This window comes from Homo sapiens, chromosome 15 (assembly GCF_000001405.40).
Source record: "Homo sapiens chromosome 15, GRCh38.p14 Primary Assembly".
Taxonomy (NCBI): Eukaryota; Metazoa; Chordata; class Mammalia; order Primates; family Hominidae; genus Homo; species Homo sapiens.
The window spans coordinates 48,120,664-48,148,302 of NC_000015.10; the positions used below are offsets into that span (position 1 = coordinate 48,120,664).

The window sequence follows — 27,639 nt, forward strand, 5'->3', positions numbered from 1 at the left end:
AGAGATGGGAAGCAGTTGCAAACCCAACTTTTTACAAATCTAGAGAAAGTCAAAAGCAGAGCCAGTATGAAGACATTAAATAAAACCACACATTTTCATAAAGTACAAGCTGCCTTAATCTGCCCTTAGAGACTGTAGGCCATGGAAATAGCTATAGACAATGGTTGTCAGCTCTCCTCCGTCTCCTCCGGCCTCCCTGGAGATTGGGTCTCCTGATCAGAGAAGCTTGACTGGCTACACTCGCCCTTTCTCCTGTGCTGGCCTTGCTGAGATGTGCCCTGGGCAGGGTATTGGGCAGGAAGGAGACTCCTCACATGATCCAGTTTAATCCTCCTCTTCTCCCTTCCTGAAGCTGCACGCTGCAGTAAGAGCACAGCAGAAATGCAGACAAAAGGGGGCCAAACATGGGCGAGAAGGGCTCTGTTGCTCGGCATCCTGTGGGCCACTGCACATCTGCCTCTCTCAGGGACCTCCCTGCCCCAACGTCTCCCAAGGGCCACAGGTAGGTGGACATTGGGGTCAGTTAGCTCTGCAGCAGCAGCTGCTGCTGCTGCTACCACATACAGATGAAGGGACAAAAAGAGGAAAATTCTCAATGGGCTCACTTTTACTTACGCTTCTGAATTTTAGCATTTAAAAAGATATCAAACACTTTTGATCCTTCAAATAAGTTCTTAAATATACTCCAAAGTAATTCACAGAGATCATAGTAGGCCAAGTCTCCAGTTTTTGTTCTTGGAGACTTTTTGGTGAAAACAAAAAATCTTTCATCTTAGAAATTCTCTCTGCAACAGTGGATGGATTCTTTGCAGGCCTGTGAACAATTTAGGCTCTGCAATGAGAAAACGAAATTGTATAAACAATAGAAATCTTCATGTATCAGAGATACAGTTTCTACTTGGGGAAGAGAGATTCAGAAATAAAAACAAGGAGGAGTGATTTCATGATTTCCTCTTTTTAATTCTTCACCATCATCAACATATTTCATTAAGATATCTCTTTTCAGTCCCCCAAAAAAATTTTTTGAAAACTCTACAACTGTGTTATATTCAGAAGCGCTTTATACATTTTCAGTGGGTCCTTAAAATTCCACCCGGTTACCCCACACTTACAGATTTCTTAAGGAAGCTCTCTGTGGGCTTGGAATGTGTGACTCCAAACTCTTCAAACTTTCACCTCCTTTTCCTTAACAGGAAATAGCACCCAATGTGTTATTTCTCCATCATCGGAGTTTCCCGAAGGGTTTTTCACGAGACAGGAGCGCAGAGATGGAGGCATCATAATCTATTTCCTAATTATCGTTTACATGTTCATGGCCATATCTATTGTCTGTGATGAATACTTCCTACCCTCCCTGGAAATCATCAGTGAATGTAAGTGGCTGGAAAGTTGCCCTGTAACCTTCTGGGAGAGTGTGCCACACAGATATGACTGTCTTTGAAATAGCTCAGCAGCTGTCCTGTACTTCTCAACTGGTTGCAGAGCACCAGCTTCTTGTTGTGGGGTCCCGTGTCTTAAGGAACTGGTCGAGTGTGGTTTCTCTTGGTAGTTAATGTGAATCAGAGTTTCTTCAAGTTAGAACCCGGCAGTTATTATTTTTCTGCCTATTTCCAGAAATCTCTAGTTTGTCTACTGCCTGGATGTTTGTTATAAGAACTGTTCCAAGATTTCACTTGTATGTACTTTGTGTGCGCTCCTAATACAATGAAACTCCTAATATTTGCCATTTTATGCTTCAAAAAACTTTTTTTTATTTTTACTCTAAGCTCGCTATAACTTTGATTATAAAAAGTGATAAACAAATGCAATTAAGGACCACCCTCCCCATCTTCCTTTCCCAGCATCCTACCATTAAGGAAATTAATTGATATTTAAGAACCAATAAACAGATAGATGAATAAGTCCTGTATCCTAAGTGACCTTAGACATCAGATGACTGTAAAATCAGTTATTAAAAATTAAGAGCTCCATTTATTGGTTTCTGAAAATAAGATCAGCCGGTCCAAGCCTCTGAGCTCTGTTCCTTCAGCAGTATATGTTGCCCAGAATTCTGAGCATAGACCTTCACTGGTGCACTGGTCCCTAAACACCAGGATAGCAGTTATGTTCTGTGCCATATGAGCAAAAGTGTGTTTCTAGACTTGGTCTCATGTTTGGTTATTTATTTGGCTGAGCATGCCCACATTACAGCAAAAAGCAATGTCAAAATTAAGGATTGGGTTTCCTATTGCATATTCACAAGACTGCACAGTAACAGCAGCGTCCTCAACCTCCACCCACCGCCCCCGACACACACACATTGCTGCCATTTCTTTATAAAGGGAAAGAGCATGAATGTAAACTCTCCCTTTTCCCATCACCCCACCCCCAACCCCTGCTGAAATGCAAAGCGAATTATTTCCTCCCTTGTTCACTGCAGTATACCAGAATCTGTAGGCTCTAAAACAGTAACTGGTGATAGCAGAGGCACTCAACACCTATCTGTTTAATGAAAATATATAATATATATATATATGATAGATTAGCCTAATTTATTACAATTTTTCTTAAGTAGATACAAACATATGCTTTTATCTTGACGTTACATCTTATATATAATTGATATTTTCTTTAATAAAGATTAAATTATTTAACAGTTTTACTTAGATTAATGAAATACAAGAAAAATAGAAGAGAAAGATAAAATCACCTGTATTTCCATCTACACAGTTACCATTTGGTATATTTCCTTTAAATCTTTTGAATCTTGCTTTATATACAGTTTGGGATCTTTCCTTTTTTTCACACAATATTTTATAGTGCACATTTTCCAATATTATTAAACATTCTTCAAAAACATTATTTTTAATGATATCATGATAGTCCATGATTCTATAAATGATTTGAGCGTCTGACACTGGTTTTTACACATAGTAGGCACCCAGTAGAAATTTATCATAAAATTTAAAACTATTACTCTCATTGGACATTTGGCCTGTTTTAAGTTTTTTGTGTTAATGTCATGCCCATAATTGTATAAAATCTTTGCACACCTCTCTGATCATTTCCTGATTAAGAGGCAGAGATGTGGATATTTTAAGTCTTATGATATATATTTGCAAAAGGCATCCCACAAAAGGTGTGCCTACTTATACCTCCTTAAGCATCCATTCCAGAAAACCATGAAAAATATGTGAAATATCCTTGGTTGCTTTAACCTCCCATTATTTTATAAAATTTGTGTTTATCTTATTATCCATGAGGGTGAATATTTTATATGTTTATTTTATTTTATGGTTTTCCTTTTGTGTTTTTTTGCCCATATTATATCAGGGGTATTCTGTCTCTTTCTTATTGATTTTCAAGACTTTAAAAATATATAAGGATATTAACCCTTTTTCTAGTATTACTTCATATCATATGCTTTTTCATGGTTTGTTTGATTTTGCATTTTGTGTTTATCACATTGAAGTTTGAAGTTTAAATATTTTAAGTAAATTTGTAAATCTTTTTCTTTATGGTTCTCCTTTTGGTTTTATAACTAGAAAGGCATTTTTATCCATAGGTCACAACAATCATCATATTTTATTCTACATGCAGGATTTTTTAAAATTTATTTATTTTTTCCACTAAGAATCTGTCTTGCTATAGGATGTAATGTTCTTTTTTCCAACAGTTGATCAATTTTCATATACTAAGTTCTTATATAGATGTAGATCTGTCTCTATGCTCCCAACTCTGTTCTAATAACCTTTTTGTACATTCTTATGCCAATACTGCACTTTTAATTAGAAAAATGTAAAAAACTAAAAATTGAAAAATTAAAAATGTTAATCATATAAAACACAGAAATTTAAATTGTAAGGAATAATTTCCATTTCTAATGACTTAACTGAACAATGACATGACTGAAAAAATAAATCTATCAAGAATTTTATTATAAAAATTATCTTAGGAGAAGTGAAAAATAAATAAAAAACCTTTCTAGCCCTGTAGAAGACACTACTGCATTAAAATTTAGATTATGACTTCAAAATATTGTTCATTAAGTGACTTAATATGTCTAAGTGACTTCCAACGTGCACCTTGTGAAATTACTTTGAAAGATCATCAGCAAACATGCATTTCTCAAGTGAGTCTCTCTGCCCTGAAATACAGTAGTTCTTACAGATGTGTGATTGATGAATATCCATGCCACTGCCAAATCTTCAGCTGTTAAAAATTGACCCTCATCTTGAGTATTGAAAATACTGGCAACAAAATGAGATAGAAATAGTGCTAGCTCAATTCATTTTTAAATGCTTATAAATTAATTCTGTCACTTCTCTTTTCAAGTTCTAGCATGGTCTTATCCAAATTATGACATCAGCAATAAAAAACAATTTTCCTGAAATTTCTTCACATCTGCAGAAACGGGCTTCAAAAGTCTGCAAGTGCTTTGCCTTTCCCCAGTTTCTTGATGAGCATTGAGTCATAATAGTTCCACCCATTTTGTCAACTAATAGTTATCAACATAACCCTCAAAACAGTTTACTAAAGTATTCCACAATGTACTACAGTGTTATTTTTTATCAGTTACTTATGATAAAATTATAGATGAAAGATATATATCTTATAATAATATATGGTTTATATAATATATATGATTTTATATATATATATATGGTTTCACTTAGTCTTCCCAAAAACCTTACAAAATAGGGACTAATGTTTTGGTTTTACTGATGAGGAAGCCAAGGCTGGGAGGGTAGGTAATTTCTCATGACCACATAGCCACACAGAGAAAGTCCTGATCTCTCTAATGCCAAAACTCAAGCATGATCTCAACTGCTACATGATAAAACTTTACACATCCTTGTTTGAGATTCGTTGCTAGAATATAGTTGTTTCAGAACTGTTCTATTTGAACCATCTTACAAGAAATTTTCCTCTCGAGAGCACTGAAAATTTTGACAAAAAAATATCAAATACCCACAGTTACTATGGAGGAAGTATATTACAAAATAAAGAGAATACATTGAATTATTTACAAAAATCATTTTGGACCTTTGGCAACCTATAGGTGATTGTAAATCAATGCTATAGACACTTATCCATAAGCTCCCAGGCCTAAACATTTTGTCCAAGATCATGAGATCATAATGTAGTACAGTGGAACTTCATCATCATAGATGAGGCTATAATGTCTTGTGGGGTATGTATACTGAGTTCCAACCTAGAATACAATGGAAGGATTGGCAGGCCCCTGTCCCACCCCAGCCCCACTCACTCCTCAAATCACCACAGTGGCTCATTTGGCCAACAGCAGGATCTTTAGCCAGGTGAAGACTAGAAGAGGCTCAGGATTGTCATCTCCGTGCAGCGATGAGCTGGAAGTGGAAGAGGGCAGAGCCTCTTGCTGGTGCTCTGGCAGGGCCCCCGCTCGGTCAAACCAGTGCTCTTTCTCTTTTGGACCTATGTATGTTGGTCTTGGTCTCCTAGAGCTGCCTCCACCAGAGGCTTCCAGCAAGGATTTTTTTTCCTTCTCCTTGCTCTGCTCATGATCATAAAAGTCACACACCCTCTCCTCTACCCTCGAACACTGGAAAAGCTGGAAAAGCACCTATCTCTACGAGGCAACCTCAGACACTTTACCACCATCTTAACTGTATGGAGCCAATAAAAGAAAATGCTGTTGCTATGCCCCCTTCCTGTAATCCTATCTTCTTTTTCTGTCCATTTGGTTCTACAGGAAAAGAAGCTAATAATTCTCTGAACACAGAGGGCTGAAATGAAATTAATTGGTGTTGTAGAGGGGACACAAATATATCACCCTCTAGTTGTCCAGGGCATTTCACGTTTGGAGGAAAGCCTTGGCTTCTGGGCTGGGAAACAGAATGGAGATTCTGGGAAAAGAGTTAAAGATGTGATCAGAAGAGGAGCATTATCCAAGCCCAAGTTAGAGCTAAAGGAGCTAGAGGTAATGGGGTGAGGAATAAACTAAGGAGAGCTTCCTCATCCTAACCAGTTGTGCTACTCTAGAATGTTACCCGGATGGATACCCTGAGGGGTGTGTATGAGAGACAGGAAGAGAGACAGAGACACAGTGAGAGAGGAATCCAAATGACTAAGGAAAAGGAGGGAGCCTTTGTCGTCTCTGATCATTCATGTAAGCCTGACTTAGAAACCTGTGTCTAAGATTCCCTTGCTTAGTTTGTGAATTTAGTTACATCACTTTGTAGTCCTATCTGGTATTGTTTGCTTGGGGCTTTTTCCAATTTTTTTCTCTCTATATATTGATATAGTTGCTGAATGGTCTATGACAAATGCTGAGAATCCCCGGACAGCTGGAGGGGAAGGACACAGCCGTCATATGCTCTAGTGCCACACTCTTATAGAGAGACAATTGAAAGTGCCCACCCTGGAGCCAGATAGCCCAGGTTCAAATCCCGGCTCTGCCATTTGCTAGCACTGTGACCTTGGGCAAAGTTCCTAACTTCCCTCTGCCTCTGTTATCTCAGCTGTGAAACAGGGTGATTACAACTTTCAGTTCATAGTGCTGTGTGACAAGTGCACGAAGAAACACAAGTGAACTGCTTACACAAGTACCTAGCACATAGAAAACATTCACTGAATGTTCATTGTTACATAAGAACAGACTACAGAGGTTAGAATCCTTTACTCAGGAAAGATGAAAGTGGAGATGGGGAATACCAAAGCCTATTTAAGTATTTTTGGAGCAAATAACCAAATCTACGGTGCATCTGCTAGAACTTGAACACCAAATTTAAGGTAAATAAAAGTAAGGTCTATTTGACAAGGTAGGAAGTAAGCTTATTAAACTAGTTATTTTATCTAATAAGCCATGTGACAACTTTAAAGTATACCTTAAATATCTCTGGAATATTCTGTTTAGGCCAGGAGCAGTGGCTTACACCTGTAATCCCAGTGCTTTGGGAGTCCAAGGTGGGTGGATTACCTGAGCCCAGGAGTTCGAGACCAGCCTGGCCAACATGGTAAAACCCCATTTCTACAAAAATACAAATATTAGCCAGTCGTGGTGGCAGGCACCTGGCCTGTAATCCCAGCTCCTCGGGAGGCTGAGGCAGGAGAATTGCTTAAACCCGGGAGGCAGAGTTTGCAGTCAGCTGAGATCATGCCACTGCCCTCCAGCCTGGGCAACAGAGCAAGACTCCATCTCAAAATAAATAAATAAATAAAAATTAAAATTAAAAAATATTCTGTTTAAAGTTCCTTTTATTTCATTTACATTAGCATCTATACCATTTTACTTCATCTTTTATTGTTTAAAAAGTCACTTTTAAATATAATTTAAATTTAAATAATTTAAATATAAGCCAATATATAATACAAATTAAAAATATAATATAAACTATATTCATTTAAAGACCAAATAGGACCAGTATGTCTAATCTCTCTAAGCAGTTTAATTTTAGAAACACAAAAGATGATATAAAATGAAAACAAAATATCCTTTTGATATGTAATGGGGATCTCAGAGGTATTGAACCACTGTTCTGGGCAGGTTTCTTTATATTTTTCCAAACTATATACATAGAAAACTCTGAGAACCCCTTAAGATTGGTCACTGGATAGAGTCCAAATTCCACAGTGAGCCAGCTATGAAACTTTAAAAAAAAATTTACACTAATATACCATTCAATTAGATATAACCTCTCTACCACACTGATACCTTCGAATTATAACACGTCTTATATGAAAATGATCTTAATAAGGTTTGGGGGAAATATACTTAAATATTTACTTTTTATTTTAAAAAATTTTCACTTACTCTGCTTTGGACTAATATTTGCTTATGTTCTACTTTACATTTCAGACATAGGCAATAAGAAAGAAATGCAAGTTTTAATTCCAGGCAGAATTGTTTCTAAATTGAAAAAATTAGGATTCAAATAATTCTGTGAGTATGGCATTTGGATAGCCTACAGTTTCAGGGGATTGTTTGATTTTTAATCCTCATGAAATTTACAGAAGCAAAAGCTTTACTAAAGAACAAAGAATCTAAGAATAGTGCTTCCTCCCTGCTACACACTCATTCTCCTAAGAGTATTTCATCCTCTTTGTTGTTCTTTTTTCTCTGATCTAAATTGTGGTCCCTTTGGATTGCATCTAAATCTACACCAGGCATACAGATCTAAATAAGTGCTAAGTACTCAGTATTTTACCACGATGCTATTGCAGGAACAAGAAATAATAATAAAGTTATGTATTATCTCTTTACTTTGCCCACATGGATAGCTGAAAGGGCAGCTTCTTGGTGTCAAAAAGATCTAGGTTCCCTTCCTACCTCTGCATTTATTACCTATGTGACCTTGGGAAAGTTATGGAACAAAAAATGAAGTAATTGTTAGGTTTGGAGGTAAAGTGTCTTGTATAAAAGAGGTACACTTCATAAGATAGGCTAAGAGCAGGTAGAAATCCACTGTAATATTACAGCTGTTAGATTGGGGATAGGGAGAGTCTTTTTCGGTGGAATCAGCCTTTAAAAGCATTACAGGTTTCAGAATTCATTCTTTCATTGCTCAGACAAAATATGAGTTGGTAAATGTAAGGTAATCAAGTTATCTTACTTATTGTTAAAAACATCCCAGAGCATATACATGCAGTCATGTATTCCTGACTCTCAGTAACTATTTTTCCCCTCTAGGCATTTATTCCCTCAAAATATTTCTAGGAATACATTTGAAATTAATTTCAGAACCAGTTTTGCAAATCACAAAAAAGACATCAGTTTGCTGTTGCACTTCATTTTGGACCCTAAATTGTATGACTCAGCATGACTACTCACCATGGTCACTAGAGTTGGGTCTGATAGACTTTTGATTGTTTCTAAAACTCTAATCCATTCACAAAGCACAAAAGTTTGCAGACTTTTAAAAATGATGCCACAGGACGCCAAATTGCATATAGCCTATGGCTGTAACTATATTAAAATGTGCATTGTGAAAAGGACTAGACACATTGAAATGACAGGAGTGGTTAAAATACTATGATAAAAGTATTCCTCTATTTTTCCCCTTCATCGTCTAAATTTTGGTAATGTAGACTTGGGGGTGGGGGGTAGGTATTATAAAAGAAATTTAATTAAAAATAAAAAGTGGTGTAGAGTCTTAAAGCATAGAATTCACATTCTATAACTTTGAGTAAAGATTGAAAAAAAAAGATAATACCTTAAAGATTGTGTGGTCTGATCCTCCATTTCACAGATGGCAAAATGAGGCTTGTCTAAATAACTTAAGTCTCCTATCAAGTTACTGGCAGGGCTGAATCCAGGTCTCAGTTTTAGTTTAATATTCTTCCGACTATATCATATTTCCAGAAGGAGATTTTCAAAAACCATTATAAACTTTCTAACATGACATCACAGAAAAAAACACATTTAAGAAAAAGTCTGATGAATTTTCATAATCAGCTCATTACCACGAAGTTGTACTTTATATAAACAATGTGTTGATATCTAAACCTATAAAGAAAACTCAAGTTGAACATTTCTACTATATCTTCCAGGATATGTGATTATTCCTTTAGAGTAATAGAGGAAAAAAAGAATAATAGCTATGGGAGGAAAAAACTAGAAAAATTTATCCTTAATAATAAACTATAGCAGAAAGAAATTTCACCCAAAAGGTCGAAGAAGACAAAGCCAATCTATTCTAAAGTTCAGAGGTATAAAACATTTTATAAAATATTCTTAGAACATTAAGATATAATTTGTTAAAATATCTTTAAGTTTTATCCATCCATCTATACAAAATCTTTCCTTTCATAATTTGAGTGCAGTGAATAGGAACAAGCTTTATTCTTACTGCCTTTTGGGACTGAAACTTTTCTAAAGGACCACCTGTTGTCCTTCCTTGAGACTGAGTTTTCTAATGAAGCATTCTTCAGCTAGTGCTAAATGAAGATTGTTCAGTATTCAGCTGCACTGTTTGGGCAGTTATTTTAAGATAAGGCATTCTGTTCTTTTTCAATTTCTTCCACCTATTTATTATCTAGCCCTGTTTTGATTTGGGAAGACAATTCATGGTAATATCCAGCAGCACTAAATCTATAAATTCTCTAGAATGTGCCGGAAAACTTCCAAAGTATTCTTGGCTCTCGGTAACTATTTTTTCCACCAGGAAAGAATAGAATGAGGGTGATTATGGTGCCAGTGCCACAAAGTGTAAACAAAAAAGATTCAGTCACCTACCATGTTCTAATGGGCCTAAGTGCCATTCTTATATTGGGTTTCTGTGGTAAAATAAAAACAGCATTGGGCTTAGAATCAACAGGCTCAGGGTTTATGCCCTAACTCTCAACATTTCAGATCCTTGCAATCCATGTGACATTATTTTACCTCCTGGGCCTGTTTATCTGTAAAATGGAATACCACCACTCATATTTCATGATAGTTGATATTAAATTATGTATATGGGAGTGCATTGTACACCATGAATATATTATTTACTTCATTTCTAAAATGAAAAACAGTTAATTACAGAGCCATCTCCTTTATCTTTTTGTTCTATGTTTTAAATATTATGGTCAGTTGTACACATCAGAATTGTAATAAGAATATAGTATATATGTGTGTCTATACATATATACACACACTGGTTAGAGTGATTATACGTATGCATGTATATGTGTATATGTATGTAATCACTCTAATCAGGAAAATAAATACTAGGAAATATGCTATGGTTTGGGTATTTGTCCACTCCAAATCTCATGTTGAAATTTGATCCTAAATGTTGGAGGTGGGGAGTAATGGGAGGTGTTTAGATCCTGGGGGTTAATCCTTTCCTAGGGGGTGAGTTCTCTCTCTTTAGTTCCTTTACAGAGCTGGTTGTTTAAAAGAGCCTGGCACCACCCACCTCTCTCTCTTACTTCCTCTCTCACCATGTGATCTCTGCACACACCAGTTCCCCCTCTATCTTCCACCATGAGTGGAAGCAGCCTGAGGCTCTCACCAGATGCCCAATCTTGAACTTTTCCAGACAGAGGAATCATGAGCCAAATAAACCTTTTTTTCTTTATAAACTACCCAGTCTCAGGCATTCCTTTATACACACAAAATGCACTAGGATACAATGTAAACTACAAAAATCATTTATTTCTCACCCTTCACTAGTCACTGCAGGTAGATGTTCAACAAGCAACATGACCAAAGGCAAACAGAATAGAGGGCCTGGCCTAAATAATTCTAACCACCCCAAGAGAACTTTTCACAATGGTTTTTCAGGTGTCAAAATAGCTTGGATTAGGGCTGGTTGGATCTCTCAGACCAAATTACCCCAAGGGATAAAATTAATGACTGGAGCTGGTATCATCAGCAGACAGTATGTAGGTGACAGATTTCTAAGTACTTCCCACATCTTTCAAAATGAAAGCCAAAGTCCTTATTAGGATCCACAAGACCTTACATGATCTGCCTATTACCTTTAATCTCATCACCTACTGCTTTCCCTTGACACTCTTCATTCTAGACATGCAGGTCTTCTGTTTCTTCACCACACAGACTAGCCTCTACCTCAATACCTTTGCAGTCATTTATTCTGCATAGAATACTTTTAGCCCAGGCATACAAATGACTCATTTCAAGGTCTTTAGTTACCTTCTCAATTAAGTCCTTTCTGGTTATCCAATCTAAAATTTCAATCCTTCCTCTCTGACATTTTTCTCTCTCTCCCCTCCCTGCCTTTACTCCTTGCAACTTATCTCTAACATCATACCTATTTTGCTTATCTTATCTGCTTCCCCTTACTAAAAGTAAAGCTCTGTGAGAGCAGGAATATTTGTCTATTTTGTTCACTGCCTTATTACTAGCACATTAAAAAAGCATCTGGCATATAGTAAGTACTCAATAAATACAACAAATAAATGAACCACCAGATGACTTAACTATCACCCCAAAACTAGTGGCTAAAAACAACAATTACTTTCACGGTTTTGGGTGTTTACTGAGCTAAGCTAGGTAGTTCTCACTCAGGGTCTCTTGTGCAGCTATGGTCAGAGGATGGAGCTAGAATCACCTGAGAGCTCACTCTCTCATATGTCTGGTGCCTAGGCTGGGAATTTTCAAAATCTGGGGACTGAAACAGCAGCAATTCCTTAGACATCTCTATTTCTATATGGGCTTTTCATGAGGTTTCTCCAGTATGGGGGTTTCAACAAAGTAGCAGGACTTACCATGTCGTAGCTTAAGGGAAATGTCCTGTGATGATAGTAAGGAAGTCGTATCACCTTTTATGTAGGGGATTAAAGGGTTCTGGAAAACTACGTGGAGCAGAAAAATACCATAACTATTATTGTAATATACAATCTGCCACACCAAGAAACACAAAAGGAATCAGTAAGCTCAAATGCCGTCCCAGCAGACTACAGAACAAGGTTCACCTGAGTGCAGGCAACAGGTGGTCCCAGAGACAAGAATAAGGAAATACCAACCACCTGTGACAGGGAGTCAACCAAGCACACCAGAGTTTGAGGGTCTGGGAAGACTGAAGCGTCAAAAACCAATAGGTATAGTAAACGACAATAAACATCAACAAAGAGTTGCCATCAAGTCTTGAAAACCCAAATTCTAGTTCTGACTTCGATACTAACTTTGTGACCTAGGGTAGATAATTTAATGTATGGCATGCTACCTCTATTAGCTAGTTTTTAGTTTATCAGTAAAGCCTGGTTGGGGATTTCTTATGCAAACCTATCTCGGCCTACGGCTTTCTCTGTTCCTTCCCATGGTAGGTCCCTTGGCCCTAAAATTGAAAGGACAAAAAACTTCTTAATTTAGTGACTCTCATCTTGTCAGTCCCTAAAGTTTATGAACTTGCATGCTTGTAAGCCTGGTGGATAGAAACAAACTGTAGTATTACGTATTTTCTTATATTCCTATTCTAGAGCAAAATTTTAATAGATCCATGTTTTAAATCAATAGACTACACAATATTAAATCTAGTTATTTTCTCTCATTTGTAATTAGACAACGTTGAAACTGCAAATTTTTTTAGAATATCCAGTTTTCTTGTGACTATCAGCCAAATTCAGCTACATTCAAATCATCAAAAATTCTCTGCATGGCAAACTGAAAAACCCCAGCCAAAGCCTCCCATATTCCGAATAATATTTTACACAAAGGTCCTATACCAGAAAATTTGAACGGACAGTTGAGATGACTTAACAGATGTGTGCAAATTTGTGAACAAGCTCTGTTCAGCTGCATTATACATCTAAAAAACTAACATCTTTTTTTTCTTCTTTGAAGTTGGGTTAGGATTTCCAAATTATCTTAATTTTCAAAGCCATGCTGTTGCTACTCACCTACAAGCCCTCTGCCTCTGAACGCTTTTCTGGGTTCCAAATAACCCTATGTTTGGCACTCAGGATATTCCCTTTAGTCTCCTGGCCTTCCCTCACCCTTTCTATAGAAGCATTAAGTAATGAAGTCATAAAGAAGCAAAACATTGGACTCTTTTAATCTGTGTATTTTATTTTTCTAGTTTAATAGTGGTTTTATGTGAAGCTGTAGCTTTGAGTATCTATTGTGTTTAGTTGTAAAGACATACTCTTTCACTTTATTAGGCATAACAATCATTTCATTTATGTTCAGCCCTTGGATTGTCTCAGGATGTTGCAGGCACAACTTTCATGGCAGCGGGCAGTTCAGCTCCTGAATTAGTTACTGCTTTCCTAGGTAAATATTGCTCCTTATACTTCTTGCTTACTCAGTGTGATTTTTATTTTCTTCAAGTTAACACTAACTTAGCTGGTACTATCTTGCACATAGGTGTATTTATCACAAAGGGAGATATTGGCATTAGCACCATCCTTGGATCTGCAATTTATAATCTCCTTGGCATCTGTGCTGCCTGTGGTTTGCTATCTAATACGGTATGTAACAAAACCATTCAACAAAATGTATTGTCTTAAAAAATTCTAAAGATAACTGTTCGTCGTCTGGGATGGACAACAGGGCACTAATAATATGTGCAATCAAATTTATTAATCAGTAGAAAAACAACATGTATTCAATTTAATGTTAATCCACAAATAGCTCTTGGTCAGATTTATGAAAGTCTGTGTAAGTTAGAACACAATTTTACATTTTTTTCTCTAAGCAATATGCAAAAGATAACAATATTTAACTACAAATATATAAACAATTTTAGTATTATACTAAGGATTGTACTTGAAGAAGTTACAATGTAATGGAAATAATAACTTACCATATTACAGGTCTCAACACTATCATGTTGGCCCCTATTCAGAGACTGTGCAGCGTACACAATTAGTGCAGCAGCAGTTCTTGGTATAATATATGACAACCAAGTTTACTGGTAAGCTTGAAAATAATTCTTATGTAAAAATTAGAGATTTTATGAATTTCTGATGGTTCAGTAATTTTTTTTCAGAAATGTTATTTCAGTCACTTAATCTGCCACTTCTATACCATATTCCAACAGGTCTGTGAGTTAACCTCATCACAATTGCTGATTGAGTTCTTCTCACTAGTTTGCAATTTCTTCTTAATCACTTCACAGTCTCCTTTTTTCTCTCACTAGTCACTGGAGACCACCACTTTTCCTTCTCCCCACTGGCTGCCTATTCAGAAAGTTTCCCAACTCCTGTTGTCCATTAAAGCCACAACAGTTGACTTTTTCTTCTGCTGGGTTACTGCTCACCTTGCCTTGGTTAGAAGTGTTCATGGCCACAAAAGACTGGAGAAGGATGGTAGAGGAAGTAAAAGAAGTCTTTTTAAATTCCTCCAAACTTCTGATGCTCATTCAGGAGAAACTATAGCCTTCCTCTAAGAAATAACAATGCTTAGCTTTTCATATTAAAAATTGTTTGCTTTCCTTACAATCTCTCTGTGCCTAGCTGGTCCAAGAAAATGAAAAAGGTGGTGACTGAGTGGACAGATACTAACTTTTTCAACTAGTAAGCAGCAGGCACCTACTAGGTCCTTCTCACTATGCTAGATATCATAAGGGATAATGAAATGTAAAACACAGCTACACAGGTTATATACATTGCATAACTCCAGAGGACACCAGAAAAATATGAAAAAAAAAAAATGTAATGGTGTCCATCTGGAGAACCATAACCTTGCAGCACGGCGTAATACCTGCTATCAAGAAACTTAAAACCTAGCCAGAAGCATAATTTCTAAACTAATCATCCTGTCCTCTAGTCCGTCTCCCTAAGACACTGTGTTGGTAGAATAGAAATCCTTCTAGAACTCAGCAGTTGTCTGTAAGGGATAGTGACTGTGAGAGTATCCAAGCTAATTCTTCCTCCATTAGGGAAATCAGAACTGTTCTTTAAGATACAGCAGACAGAGATTCACTGGCTATAAAAGGTAAATGCAAGGTTCAAATGTGATGGCATTAGCTAACTGCCAGAGTACAGGGAAACAGTTCTTGGTTCCAAGGGTATAATTTTATATTTTAGAACATCTTGTTTTCTTGTGACTGTAAGCCAAATTCAGCTACATTCAAATCATTAAAAATGCTCTGTATGACAAACTGAAAAATCCCAGCCTAAGCCTCCCATATCTGAGTAATATTTTACACAAAGTTCCTATACCAGAAAACTTGGACAGTTGAAATAACTTAACAGTTACTATATTATTTTATAATTATTATGTATGTTGGGGAATGTATTATGCCAATGAGCTGAGGCAGAAAATGTTCACCACTATTTATTAATTTTACATTTATTTTGAAAATCTCCAATTATCATTTTCCTTGCATTTTTATACCTATCATTTGGAAGGAATCTACAAGTAAAAACGAGTTTGTTGATCTTGTTTTTAAAAAAAAAAAAACAACACAGAAGTGTCCAGCTTTTATCAATAAACATAATAATGCTGTAATCAAGTCTGGACAAATCTACAAAACAAAAAATATCTAGAAATGTTTGATTGTTCTATGGCTACTTTTGTTAGAAAATCATTCAATAGATACTGCCCAAAAGCTATCAACTCTAAAATGACTTTCACTTTTAATTTAAAAACACAAATTTCTCTTTTGTAGGTATGAAGGGGCTTTACTGCTTTTGATATATGGATTGTATGTTTTGGTGCTGTGTTTTGACATTAAAATTAACCAATATATTATAAAGAAATGCAGTCCTTGCTGCGCCTGTCTTGCCAAAGCTATGGAGAGAAGTGAACAACAGCCACTGATGGGCTGGGAAGATGAAGGTCAACCATTCATTCGTCGGCAATCAAGAACTGATAGTGGAATATTTTATGAAGATTCTGGCTACTCTCAGCTCTCTATAAGTTTACATGGCCTTAGTCAGGTTTCTGAAGGTAATCACTAAATCTTGCCCATTATTAAGTCTATTCGCAAAGGAAAAACTTTAAAATTTCATTTCAATTCAGCAAGTATTGTGTGCTTTTTATGTAAAAAAGACTGTGAAGACTCAGAAATGATAAAGACCAAGTCCCTACCTTTAAGGAACTTCCAATATCACAGGAAATACAAAATAGCTAAAGTATGAACGTTAAGTACCATAAAAAGAGAAAAATAAAGTGTGACTGTGGTTCACAAATGGGACAGATTGCCAAAATGTGGTGAGGACAGATAGGAGATTTTCACAGAGAAGGGAGCATTTAAATTGGGCCTTGCTGGACAGGAAAGACTTTAACTAATGACATATGTTATGACCAATAAGTAGCAGCTACTGAGGTCTTCATTCCATAAATGATGCAGAGATAAAACACATAGAGCACAGTATGTGCATAGGAAGGAAGGAGAGGAAAGGTAGAAAGGAATAGGATAAGAAGAATCTTAAATGCTATTTTAAGAATCTTGGAAGGTTTCTGAGGAGAGAAATTATTAGAACTGTTATCTTAGTAATGTTACCCAAAATGATGTTCACCGAACTAAAATATGAAGAGACAAAGAGGTCTGTAAGAGAGGCTATTACAACAGCTGATGTGTTTACTAGGTGCCTAGACCAAGTGAAAGTGGTGGGAATAAATGAGAACAGATGTGAGACTATATGAAGGAAGCATCACCAAGACTATATGGGGCCAGAAAAAGGAACAAAGACACCTCCTATGTTTTAATCTTGACTGAGAAAATGGGAACAGCACTTATTAAAACTGGGAACTCAGAAAAAGGGGCTGGTTTGGAAGAAAGAAGAAAAACAGCTGAGGTTTACCATTGTTTAAAGCAATAGCAAAACTTTTAGGTAAATAGGTTCAGTAGGAAGTCAGAAAATTCAGCTATGGTCAAAATTATAAGTTCATGGGTTACCTTTTTATAAAGTGGTTGTCCAAAACAGATTCTAAATTTAATTAAGCCTTTAGGAGGGTTTTATTCTAATCTACTACTTAAAATTTTAAAACATGACTTTTCCCCCTTTTTACAAAAATTTTAGCTTCTACTCTTTCAGGTATAAGAGGTATGCCTCTCCAAATTAAGTTTATAATAAGAAACGCAAAAGAACCAATCCAAATTCTTTGATTATGTTAAAATTATATCTAATATTACTTAATGGCACATTGGTTGAAGCTTGGCAAACTTTTTATGAGTTGTTGTACTAACATTAGTTTTAACATGATTTCATCCAATTGTTACATTATTTTGTAAATGCCATACAAATTTTGAACATTTTTGAATTCGAATTTTTATCCAATATATTATCATTATCCTTCTACTAAATTAAATTGAATAAAGAAATATACTCAATTTTCATAAATTGTACTTTAGATGATATACTACCTCCTACTTTAAGGTTATTTCTATGAACTGTGGTAAAGTCTGAATTTAATAAATAAAATAGTAATGAAATAGGACAAAAAAACCACTTCCACTAAGAATTAGGATATGCGACTTAATAAAAAAATTATGCTATGATTATTTTATATTCTTTAAGTATACATTATCTGGTACATAGGGCAGGCAGAGGCATCATCAATATTATGAAGTGGAGACAACTGGAGTAGCTAGGTTAGAAACCAGGTTAATCCCTTAAGCAAAAAGTTACTGAAGACAATCCACAGGAGATGTCCAATTGACACTTCATAAACACTATCTACAATATATTTAACGAATGGCCCAAGACATTTTTATAGATTTAAGGCCCCAAATAAAGAAATGCGGAGTATCACATCTTACATTGTCTGCCCTAAAGTTTCAATTAGTTTCTTTTCACCAGCAATATCAGTAATGAGGTACTCAAATGTTTTAAACAGCCTTTTAAAAACTGATACAGCTAATTTATTTCAATATAACTTTCTAAATAGGCATTTCTAACTTAATTAGCCATTTGAGAAAACTCAAAAGTGTTTACTTTTTCCACAACAGATCCACCAAGTGTTTTCAACATGCCTGAAGCAGACTTAAAAAGAATTTTTTGGGTATTATCCCTTCCTATTATTACATTACTTTTTCTAACCACACCAGATTGTAGAAAAAAGTTTTGGAAAAACTACTTTGTGATAACCTTTTTCATGTCTGCAATATGGATATCCGCATTTACATATATCCTGGTTTGGATGGTCACAATAACTGGTATGTATTTTAAGTACAATAGCACAACTTGAAAATATTCATATAAGAACAAATTGCATATGTTCACTCAAAGTAGTCTAGCTACACAGCAAATTTCTTTTCAGCAAGATTGAAGATTAGTACCATTTACAAAATGATTAAGTATTACTATAACAAGATCACTGGAGTTTGTGAGTTGCATATTATATATAAACTGTATTTTCCACTGTTATTTAGCCTGGGGTACAATTCAAGAGATCTTATAAATGAAATCAAATTCATAGGATGTCTTTTTATTATGCTAATAATTTAATCACATTCCATGGGGTCCACAATAAACTCTTTATATTGAATTCCATTCCATAATAAAAAAAAAAAAGAACAAAAAAACAAAAACAAAGCAAGGAGCTCTATTTTTGGGAAAACAATGGGTGCTCACTGCTTAACTGGATTGTATTTTATTTGGCTTTTCAACACGGCAATACAAACATATTATGAAATGAGTGAAAAGGGCATAATAATTTTATTCTAGGTTTCTACTACCTTCATGATTAAGACTTAACTAGCTACTGCTGCTTGGCCATAATCCACTACAGTCCCTAAACAAAAAAACTATGAACAAAGACAAAAATAATCTGTAATTTCTCCTACAAAGGTTAACCCAAATTAACTTACAGCAGAGGTGAACAAACTACTGCCTGTGTGCCAACATAACCCAGCTTGTTTTTATTAGTAAGGTTTTACATATTATCTATGATTGTTTTCACACTACATTGGCAAAGCTGAATAACTGCAACAGAAATCACACAGCCTGCAAAGCCTAAATAATTACTATCTGGCCCCTCACAGACACAAAAATTTGTTGACCCTTGACTTTTCCCAAATTAATGTAAGTCTCAGAATAGTATGCTAGCAAAAAGTGGACTACTTCTTCCTTTTTTTAATGAGAAAAATGAAAAAGTCCAATTAGCTTGCATATTATATCTATCCAAATTCACTCAGCCAGAACACATTTGATACTAGAAAAATAAAAAGAGAGCAAAAATCATGTAATAGATCACAGAACAGCCCCCAAGATGATAAATATTAGTGTTATTTATGCACATATGAATTCTAGCAAAGCCAGTAACAGAAATTAACAACCAATTCCAATTCCAATATCAATGTATAAGCATGCAATAAATAAGCTACTTTCTAATTATTTTAGTTGGCATTTTAAGAAAAAAAAAGAGAAAGAAAAAAAAGACGCTAAACCAAGTTTTCAATTACAACATTAAAGGAACAGTTACATAACCTTTTGTTTAACTTCTCTCTGGTTCTGTTTCTGAGAATAAATACATTTCTGAAAAATGTTGACCTGACATCAAATTTAACAGAAGTATTAATAAATTGGGACCATATGTTAGACTCAAGTAGAAAACAGGTTTTGTTTTCCTCAGAGATTAATGAACGTTCCCCCTCCCCCGCCCTGCCAAAGCCCACTAAATTAAGGTATATCACTAAAGTAGAACATAATAAATGGTATATATACATGTTAACACATTTATAGCTTAAAGATAGCTATAATTAATTTGCTTAACTCTGACTAATATTTTTAAGAAAGAAAAAGCGGAATGATCAGTCTCATTATCAAATATTCAGCACAGCCCTGATGAGATAATGGTGGACATAAACATCTTTTGTAAGAATATCAAACAGGAAAATTTCTCACTGGCAGAATTTTAGCTGTTACGTATCTTTAGATATGTCATTAAAAATCTGTGCTACCTGGGTTACCCGAATTACCAGCCTGATTCAAATATGTTGCTAGCTAAAAAACTAATAAGCAAGCACATATTGGCTCTGAATTCTAAATGTGCCTATTTTATTTTTGTTCACGAAGGAAATATCCAAAATAACTGCAAAGGATGGTTAGTGAATCTTTAAGATTTGTAACTTGAAATATCTGTTTATTACAGGGGAAACACTAGAAATTCCCGATACAGTAATGGGCCTTACTTTATTAGCAGCAGGAACAAGCATACCAGACACAATTGCAAGTGTGTTGGTTGCAAGAAAAGGTAAGAACTAGGTCCCTCAAGCTGCAATGGTCATTCTACAAGGCTAGAATGAGTAAAAGTAGCTTTAAAAATGTTTACTTCCAGCCGGGTGTGGTGGCTCGCGCCTGTAATCCCAGGATTTTGGGAGGCCGAGGCGGGTGGATCACGAGGTCAGGAGTTTGAGACCAGCCTGACCAACATGGTGAAACCCAGTCTCTACTAAAAATACAAAAATTAGCCGGGCGTGGTGGCATGTGCCTGTAATCCCAGCTACTCAGGAGGCTGAGGCAGGAGAATTGTTTGAATCCAGGAGGCGGAGGTTGCAGTGAGCCGAGATTGCGCCACGGCACTCCAGCAGCCTGGGCAACAGAGCGAGACTGTGTCTCAAAAAACAAAAACCAAAAAAAAAAAAAAAAGTTTACTTCCTCAGTAACATACTTTGAAGGGGGAAAAAAGTGACTCCAGAGGAAAAGTTTACTATTTAATAGCAGGTTAATTTCACTCAATCTAATCCCCCAAATAATATTCATTTGAAATGTGTGTTAAATAGTAATTAACCATTAACCATGTTAAATTACAATGAAAAGCAACAAATAAGCTATATACCTTATTGAAAAATGGTTTAATAAATATAATTATTAAATAAATGTTAAGACTTTAAATACTAACCCAAGAAAAATTTAAAAATACAAATTCAGTAAGACTTTTGCTCTAACAACAATTTTTCAAAACGAATCAACAACAAAAAAGTATCCAGTGTTTCTTTTCTTATGAAGATTATTAATAAAACACAGTATTGGTAAGCACATTTTAACAGTATGCTTTTCTTTTGTAGGGAAAGGAGATATGGCTATGTCTAACATCGTGGGATCCAATGTGTTTGATATGTTGTGCCTTGGTATTCCATGGTTTATTAAAACTGCATTTATAAATGGATCAGCTCCTGCAGAAGTAAACAGCAGAGGACTAACTTACATAACCATCTCTCTCAACATTTCAATTATTTTTCTTTTTTTAGCAGTTCACTTCAATGGCTGGAAACTAGACAGAAAGTTGGGAATAGTCTGCCTATTATCATACTTGGGGCTTGCTACATTATCAGTTCTATATGAACTTGGAATTATTGGAAATAATAAAATAAGGGGCTGTGGAGGTTGATATTATTAATAGTGTTATGCAGAAAATATGAATGGCAGGGAGGGGCAGAGAGAAAAATCCATTTCTTCATTTAAATCAAATTTTAAAAATCTTGAACCTTAGAATCTAAAACTTACAGTAATTTAAAACCAACCAAAATCACATCCTAATTTTTCTGAGCCCTTTCTTTTCATGAAAAATTACATATTATAAAACAGAAGTTTGGGGGGAAAAAATCTATGTTTTACCATACAATAAGTTGACAAAAACTGGAGAAACTAGAACAAACAAATCCAACTATGTAGTACTGAAAACAACAAGAAAATGGCTTATTTCATTAAAAACAGTATAACCATTCATTTAAACTGAATGACCAGACTTGCTGTCTTTAAAAACCCAAACTTGAGATTAACAAAAATTACAGTATATTTTTAACATTATACTGTTAAAAGCTGGTGGGAGTTTTAAAAGTTCATTTTTACAGCTTTTGTAAGCATACAATATTACTTTAAAAAAATGACTTTTACTAGGAGATTCAGCAAAACAGATGTAGGAATGTTCCAACCATGGCTTGAAATTATGCATTACGATCCAAGCGAACATCAATTTCTCTGCCACTGATTTTTATGCCATTCATTATTCTGCAGGCTTTTTCAGCTGATTCTGGGGAGTCAAATCTGACTGTTCCACAGCCTTTTGACTTTCCATTCTCCATTTTTATTTCTGCAAACATTACATGACCTGTAAAATAAAAGTTACAGAATTACTAGTCAGTTTAAATAAGTTCTATTTCACTTTATAGGTTTGAAATTCCTCATAGCCAATTGTGATAATTAATTTGATTAAAAACATTAATTATTTAAAATAAATAATATAAGCATTATATTTGGACTAAAATACAATTCATACAAAGTAATAAATATATACATATTAGAATATACAAAATTGGAATCAGGAAAGATTTTCTTAGGATTTAATGTATTTTATTTATGTTAAATCCCTAATTCCTGAGGTTAATTTTATAAGCAATAAGTCAAGCTAGCACAAAATGCCGCCAACTCACCATGCCCTATAACAAACTTACATATTTAAACAAAATTATTTTTAGAATAAACGGTTGCTTACTGCTCAGTCTCCCTAATCTCTCTTCCTTCCCTTTTATCCTCATTTCACTCCTTTATCCCCTGCAAACAAGTGCAACTGACCAGAAATCTAATTTCTATCAGGCTACAAAGGGCCCCACTAATTCTGCTTTGCAACCACAGTGCCAAAGCCGTTTATTCAATATCACAGTTTGAGCTCAAAGTCTTAAGAATGGCACCAAATATGCTACGGAAATAGTCATGGGAAGAGATAGCACAGATTTAAATCAATAAAGGTAAAAACAGTGATGTCAAGGAGAATATCAGAGAAGCTTCAGGAAAGAGGAAGAAAACCAGAAACCTGTCCTTATGCAGTTATAATATCATTGCTAACTCTAGAGACTCGTATTTGAAGTAAATCAATACCATTTATCAAAATAAAAAGTGGCCATAAGAATTCATCACTACAATAGAACACTTTTGAGAGTAAAAGGGGGAGTTATCAATAATTACACATAAGTAACAGATGTAAAGGGAGACTATCCCCAGGCAAACTGGAATACATGGTCACTCAATCCAAACAGGTCATAAATTTAGGGTGTGACTACTTACCAAAATATTTCCCTCCCCACTAGATGTACATGTCAAAACAAATCAAGTTAGAAGACTTTAAATATTATAGTTGCCAGATCACTATGGGCTAATTTTAGTCTGGCAACCAAATCAGACAGCCAGACATATTTAGTTCTAGGAAGGGAGGAGAAAAAAAAGGAGAAAGGTAAAAGCAAGAGGACCTGTCGAAAAACTGCATAAGCCCTTTCCAGATGATAAGATCAAACTTTAATATCAATCCATAAGGAAGATTTTTTTCTGTTGAAATCTTGATCTGAATAATCTCTTACCTATAACATGATGGACTACTTTATACTTTCACTTTTTCATCCACTCCCTATTACTGCATTTCTTTTTGAAAACCAACTGGTAGTCAACTGCTCACCTACTAAACACTAATTAAATGGTCTAGGATAATAAATGTCATACTGAGACAAAACCAGTATCTTGTTACACAGGCCAGATAGTCTTTAAATGTGTTCTGAAAAGTTATAAAATAGGCTAATCTCCAGAGAAATTACATGATAATGGTTAAAGTAGATCCAAATAATATTTAGCCCACAACTGGAATGAAATGGGGAAAAAAAGCAAAAACATAGCAATCACACTTTCTAATAAACATCATAAAATGAAACTGGAAAACACATTTTAAAACAATTTAAAGATAAATGCAGCACAATTTCCAGAGTCCTCTTAATATCTTGAATGCTGGTACCTGAAAAAAAGCAAGTTTAATTAAAGAAGCTGTTGGTAAATGACAGCACCTTACAGTTATTTTGAAAAGAACTGTGGAGGATTTTCAAGGGCTTTTAAGGTTAAAGGTTCTTCCTTATCTTAATTTTACCTAAAAACGTAGAGTTTTTCTTAAGTATCCCATCATAGATTTATCAGCAATAGTAAAGTTCACCTAAGCAAGAAATCTTCAAAACCTCAAAAGAAAATATGTCACTATTTCTTGCATAATCTGTCTCTCGATCTTTCAGGACAGTTTCTCTTTTTTGTTTTTCTCTTAAATTGCCTCTTTCAGTTTAGAAATCAGCACTCAGACCTCCAAATTCCTGACCTCACAATGACCTCAAAAATTTTCTAGTTGACAAGTTCCCTCAGCTAAGATACTTCAACTTCCTCACAGTTCTGATGTTCAAGCTATATGGACAGTAGCCCATAAATATTTGTTTTATGGTTAGACTGCTCCCCTAAAAAGAATCCCAGCAGTACAGAACCAGAAAGAGTTATAGATGTTCTAAGTTTCTTCCTGATCCTATAAAAACACCAACTGAAATATTTTCTTTTCTAAAGATAAATAATTGAGGAGAAAAAAATTAGTTTCAAATAGCTGATTAAAATCAAACCTGCCTGACTTTTTACATGCTCTGAGAACTTCCTCAACTAAGTTAAATATCTAATAATCTTGTACGATTCCAAGAAAACAAAAACAGGACTGATATTTTGGCAACAGCACAGGACAAAATAGTATGCCATGAGAAATCAGTATCACAGAATAATCAAACATATTGCTGTTACATATACTAGTAATAAAAAGGATTTGTCCCACAGTAAAAGAAACCTTTCTGTTTTATTTAACCCAGTCTATAAACATCTTGTGGGGTATATTTTGGGATATGCCAGTATAAAAACACATGTAAAAATAGACCAAATTAAAGGATGTTCAATAAAATCTACTGCCTACATGAAGTTAACACAACCACGGATGAAAACAGGAAAATCAGAAATTCTACGATAAGAAAACATAATAAGGATATAAGGGATAGAAAAGCAAAGTATTCTGTTGTTTCTTTACAAACAAAAGACAGAGCCTATCAATGAATGCTCATCATATATCATTTGTACTATTACTGCAATTTTACTGTTAAGTTATTCTAAAGTCCACTCAAAATGCTTGAAGCAGCAAGTACTTTAATCAATAAAATCTACCATAAGCCTCCATTTTCCATGCAGTTGACAAGCACACTGATGTAGAAATACTACATAATGGAAATCTGTGGAACAAAGTTATATCTGTTTATATGGCTTATAGCAGGAATAACTGAGAATGGGTTTTCCTTGTGCTGAAGTTCTAAAATGTTATAGTCTTGCATCATACTGAGCCAGAAGGCCAGAATGCAGCTAAAGTATACAGATGACATGGGAGCACATTTAAAAGACTATGCCCATTTGACCCTATTAGCACAAGCTGAAATGATGTGGGGTCCAATACTAAATAGGTTAATTTATTTATACTCAGCCTTTTTGAAAATGCATCTCTCTGAGGAATTACACAAGGCAAGATAAAAAGATAGATCTCTTTTGCTACAGGAAAGATGTGTATCTTACCAGCCTGGGGTCAAAAATGTTACCTTTAGGGGCTTGATGGAACCAGAAAATAGCAGTTATATTCACTTATTTCTCATCTTGTTATATTTGGAAAGATCTGAAAACAATCTTTTCTGAATTACAAAGGCTGAGAAAATGTTCTATTGAGGGTAATATAACCCATAATATAACATTTACTCAGCCTTTGTAATTACTCCATCAAGAACAGTTAATCACTAGAGATAATTTATAAGCAGAGGGGGTTGCCAGTGGCACCCTTTACTGACAGATATTGTTTATGGGAGATGCAAGGAGTACTACTAGATTCTTACTAAGAAGCAAGCAAGAGAATATACTTACTCTCTTTGGGCTTACAAGAAAAACAACAACAGAAGACTGCCTTTTACTGCCCAAGAGGCCATTACTGGCTTGCAGCATGTTAAAAAGAAATGTCTCATACTAAGAAAAAGATTTATAAATAAGTGACATGGCAGAAAAATGGATGGTTCAGTTCATACTAGCTAGATAATTTGTATAGTTGTCAATAGCTGGACACTTAATTCTATATTATTATAACTTTTCCATCAATGTAGTTCAAGGTTAAAAATAAGGGAGATATAGGGAATTGTGTAAATATGGTATTATCTTAATATAAAATCTAAGAGTCAGAAACTTTTACAAAAGAATTGATAAAACAAAAATCATTAATCTTAAAATATAATTATAATCGAAAAAGGATTATAAGAATAGAGCTAAAATAGCAAAGTAAAGAATAATAATTTAACCATTATTTTATATGGCTAACATACTATAAAAATTTTCTATGTAGATTTGAATGTTTTTTCCTTTCAAAAAATGTCTTGCAATTGCTGATGTCCTCATGTCAAAACAATGCCACTCCAACCAGAAGCCCACCAAACACTTGAAGTTTGCTGCAAGCCTTGCTCATATCTAACCTCAAACAGAAAGCAGCCTACAAAGAATAAAGAACAGTCAACTCAACAATGGTCACCTTTTCATTGTCATTTCTTTGTCCTGCTTTGCTCTTTATCTTGCTAAGTTTCATTTCTACTTTTAACATAATGTCATATCTCATTTGGAGATTTTTTTTTTCACTCAAACTAAATCAACACAGATTATACTTGCTGCCACTGTTCCTCATTTGATGTATTTCACTAAGACCCTATATACATTCTTTCCTCTGTAGTCTACAGGATTCATGGCCAGACACTGCTTACTCATTCTGGTAGATCTTCTTACTCCTGCAAAGAAGACCAATACCTCAAGGCCACTTTACTATTTTGCTTTCTCTTAGTGGTGACTATTAACCAGTTAACTTGTTTTCAACAACTTTTTCTTGAATTTTTGATTAGTTCAAAATAAAAGGATGATCAAGAAAGAGAGTCAACAGAACATCCTAGACAAATTCATGTTGTATGTTCTTTGAGGGCAGGAGCATCTCACTTTGTTCACCTTCAAAATTCTAGGGCCTAACAGACTGCCAAAAATATGTTTGTGGATTTAATGAATAAATTACTGAATAAATGAACATCTACCCAGAATGCTTAACTTATAAACTTTTCATAAACTCTTACCATATGTACAGAGGCAATAAAAGGAGCTAAGATAAAAAGACAATTCTTGCCTTCAAGAGCTTCCACGTAGGATGGAAGAAAACTTGAACAAATAACTATTAATATAATAAAAGCTACAAAAGAGTTAGATATAAAGAAATATGAGATAATATTATCTCTGTAGTGGCCACAAAGGCTATTTTGTGACAGAACACTAAACCTATTCCTTCATGACCTCAGAAATTATATATATGCTATCTTATGTAATTTCCTATTGTGACTACAGTCGCTGAGATTCCATGCAATAGCAGAAAAATATTAATACTAGCAAAAAATATTTTACTTTATAACACTCACATGAATTCTCTCATTATTGCAAAAGAAAGAAAAA

General features: G+C 34.9%; 2 protein-coding genes across 15 annotated transcripts in view; one reads left to right on the forward strand and one right to left on the reverse strand.

Moving 5' to 3' along the window:
* Positions 327-22,009, forward strand: SLC24A5 (solute carrier family 24 member 5). 4 transcript variants are annotated; one of them, NM_205850.3, is made up of 9 exons: positions 327-502; positions 1,194-1,373; positions 13,595-13,678; positions 13,772-13,875; positions 14,221-14,321; positions 16,020-16,300; positions 18,306-18,512; positions 20,450-20,551; positions 21,366-22,009. In NM_205850.3, exons 1-9 carry the CDS (start codon positions 382-384, stop codon positions 21,686-21,688), a joined length of 1,503 nt encoding a protein of 500 aa, NP_995322.1. In that variant the 5' UTR covers positions 327-381; the 3' UTR covers positions 21,689-22,009. The 4 variants fall into 4 exon arrangements, with proteins under 4 accessions (NP_995322.1, XP_047288350.1, XP_047288351.1 ...); XM_047432395.1 differs by lacking the exons at positions 327-502; positions 1,194-1,373 and adding exons at positions 6,560-6,750; positions 7,817-7,900; XM_047432394.1 differs by having other exon boundaries at positions 13,595-13,875.
* The window catches only part of MYEF2 (myelin expression factor 2), a 43,664-nt gene continuing 29,993 nt past the window's right edge, over positions 13,969-27,639 (reverse strand). For all 11 annotated transcript variants that reach the window (XM_017022287.2, XM_005254424.5, XM_017022285.2 and 8 more), the window contains one exon: positions 13,969-22,408. In XM_017022287.2, the coding sequence (XP_016877776.1) occupies positions 22,400-22,408 (9 nt within the window). In that variant the 3' untranslated portion in view covers positions 13,969-22,399. The remainder of the gene's footprint in view (positions 22,409-27,639) is intronic.

Coding starts and splice junctions, on each gene's coding strand:
- SLC24A5 (XM_047432394.1), top strand. CDS start 382: ATGCAGACAAAAGGGGGCCAAACATGGGCGAGAAGGGCTCTGTTGCTC. Junction 13,876..14,220: donor GTGGTTTGCTATCTAATACG/GTATGTAACAAA, acceptor ACCATATTACAG/GTCTCAACACTATCATGTTG. Junction 14,322..16,019: donor TATGACAACCAAGTTTACTG/GTAAGCTTGAAA, acceptor TCTCTTTTGTAG/GTATGAAGGGGCTTTACTGC.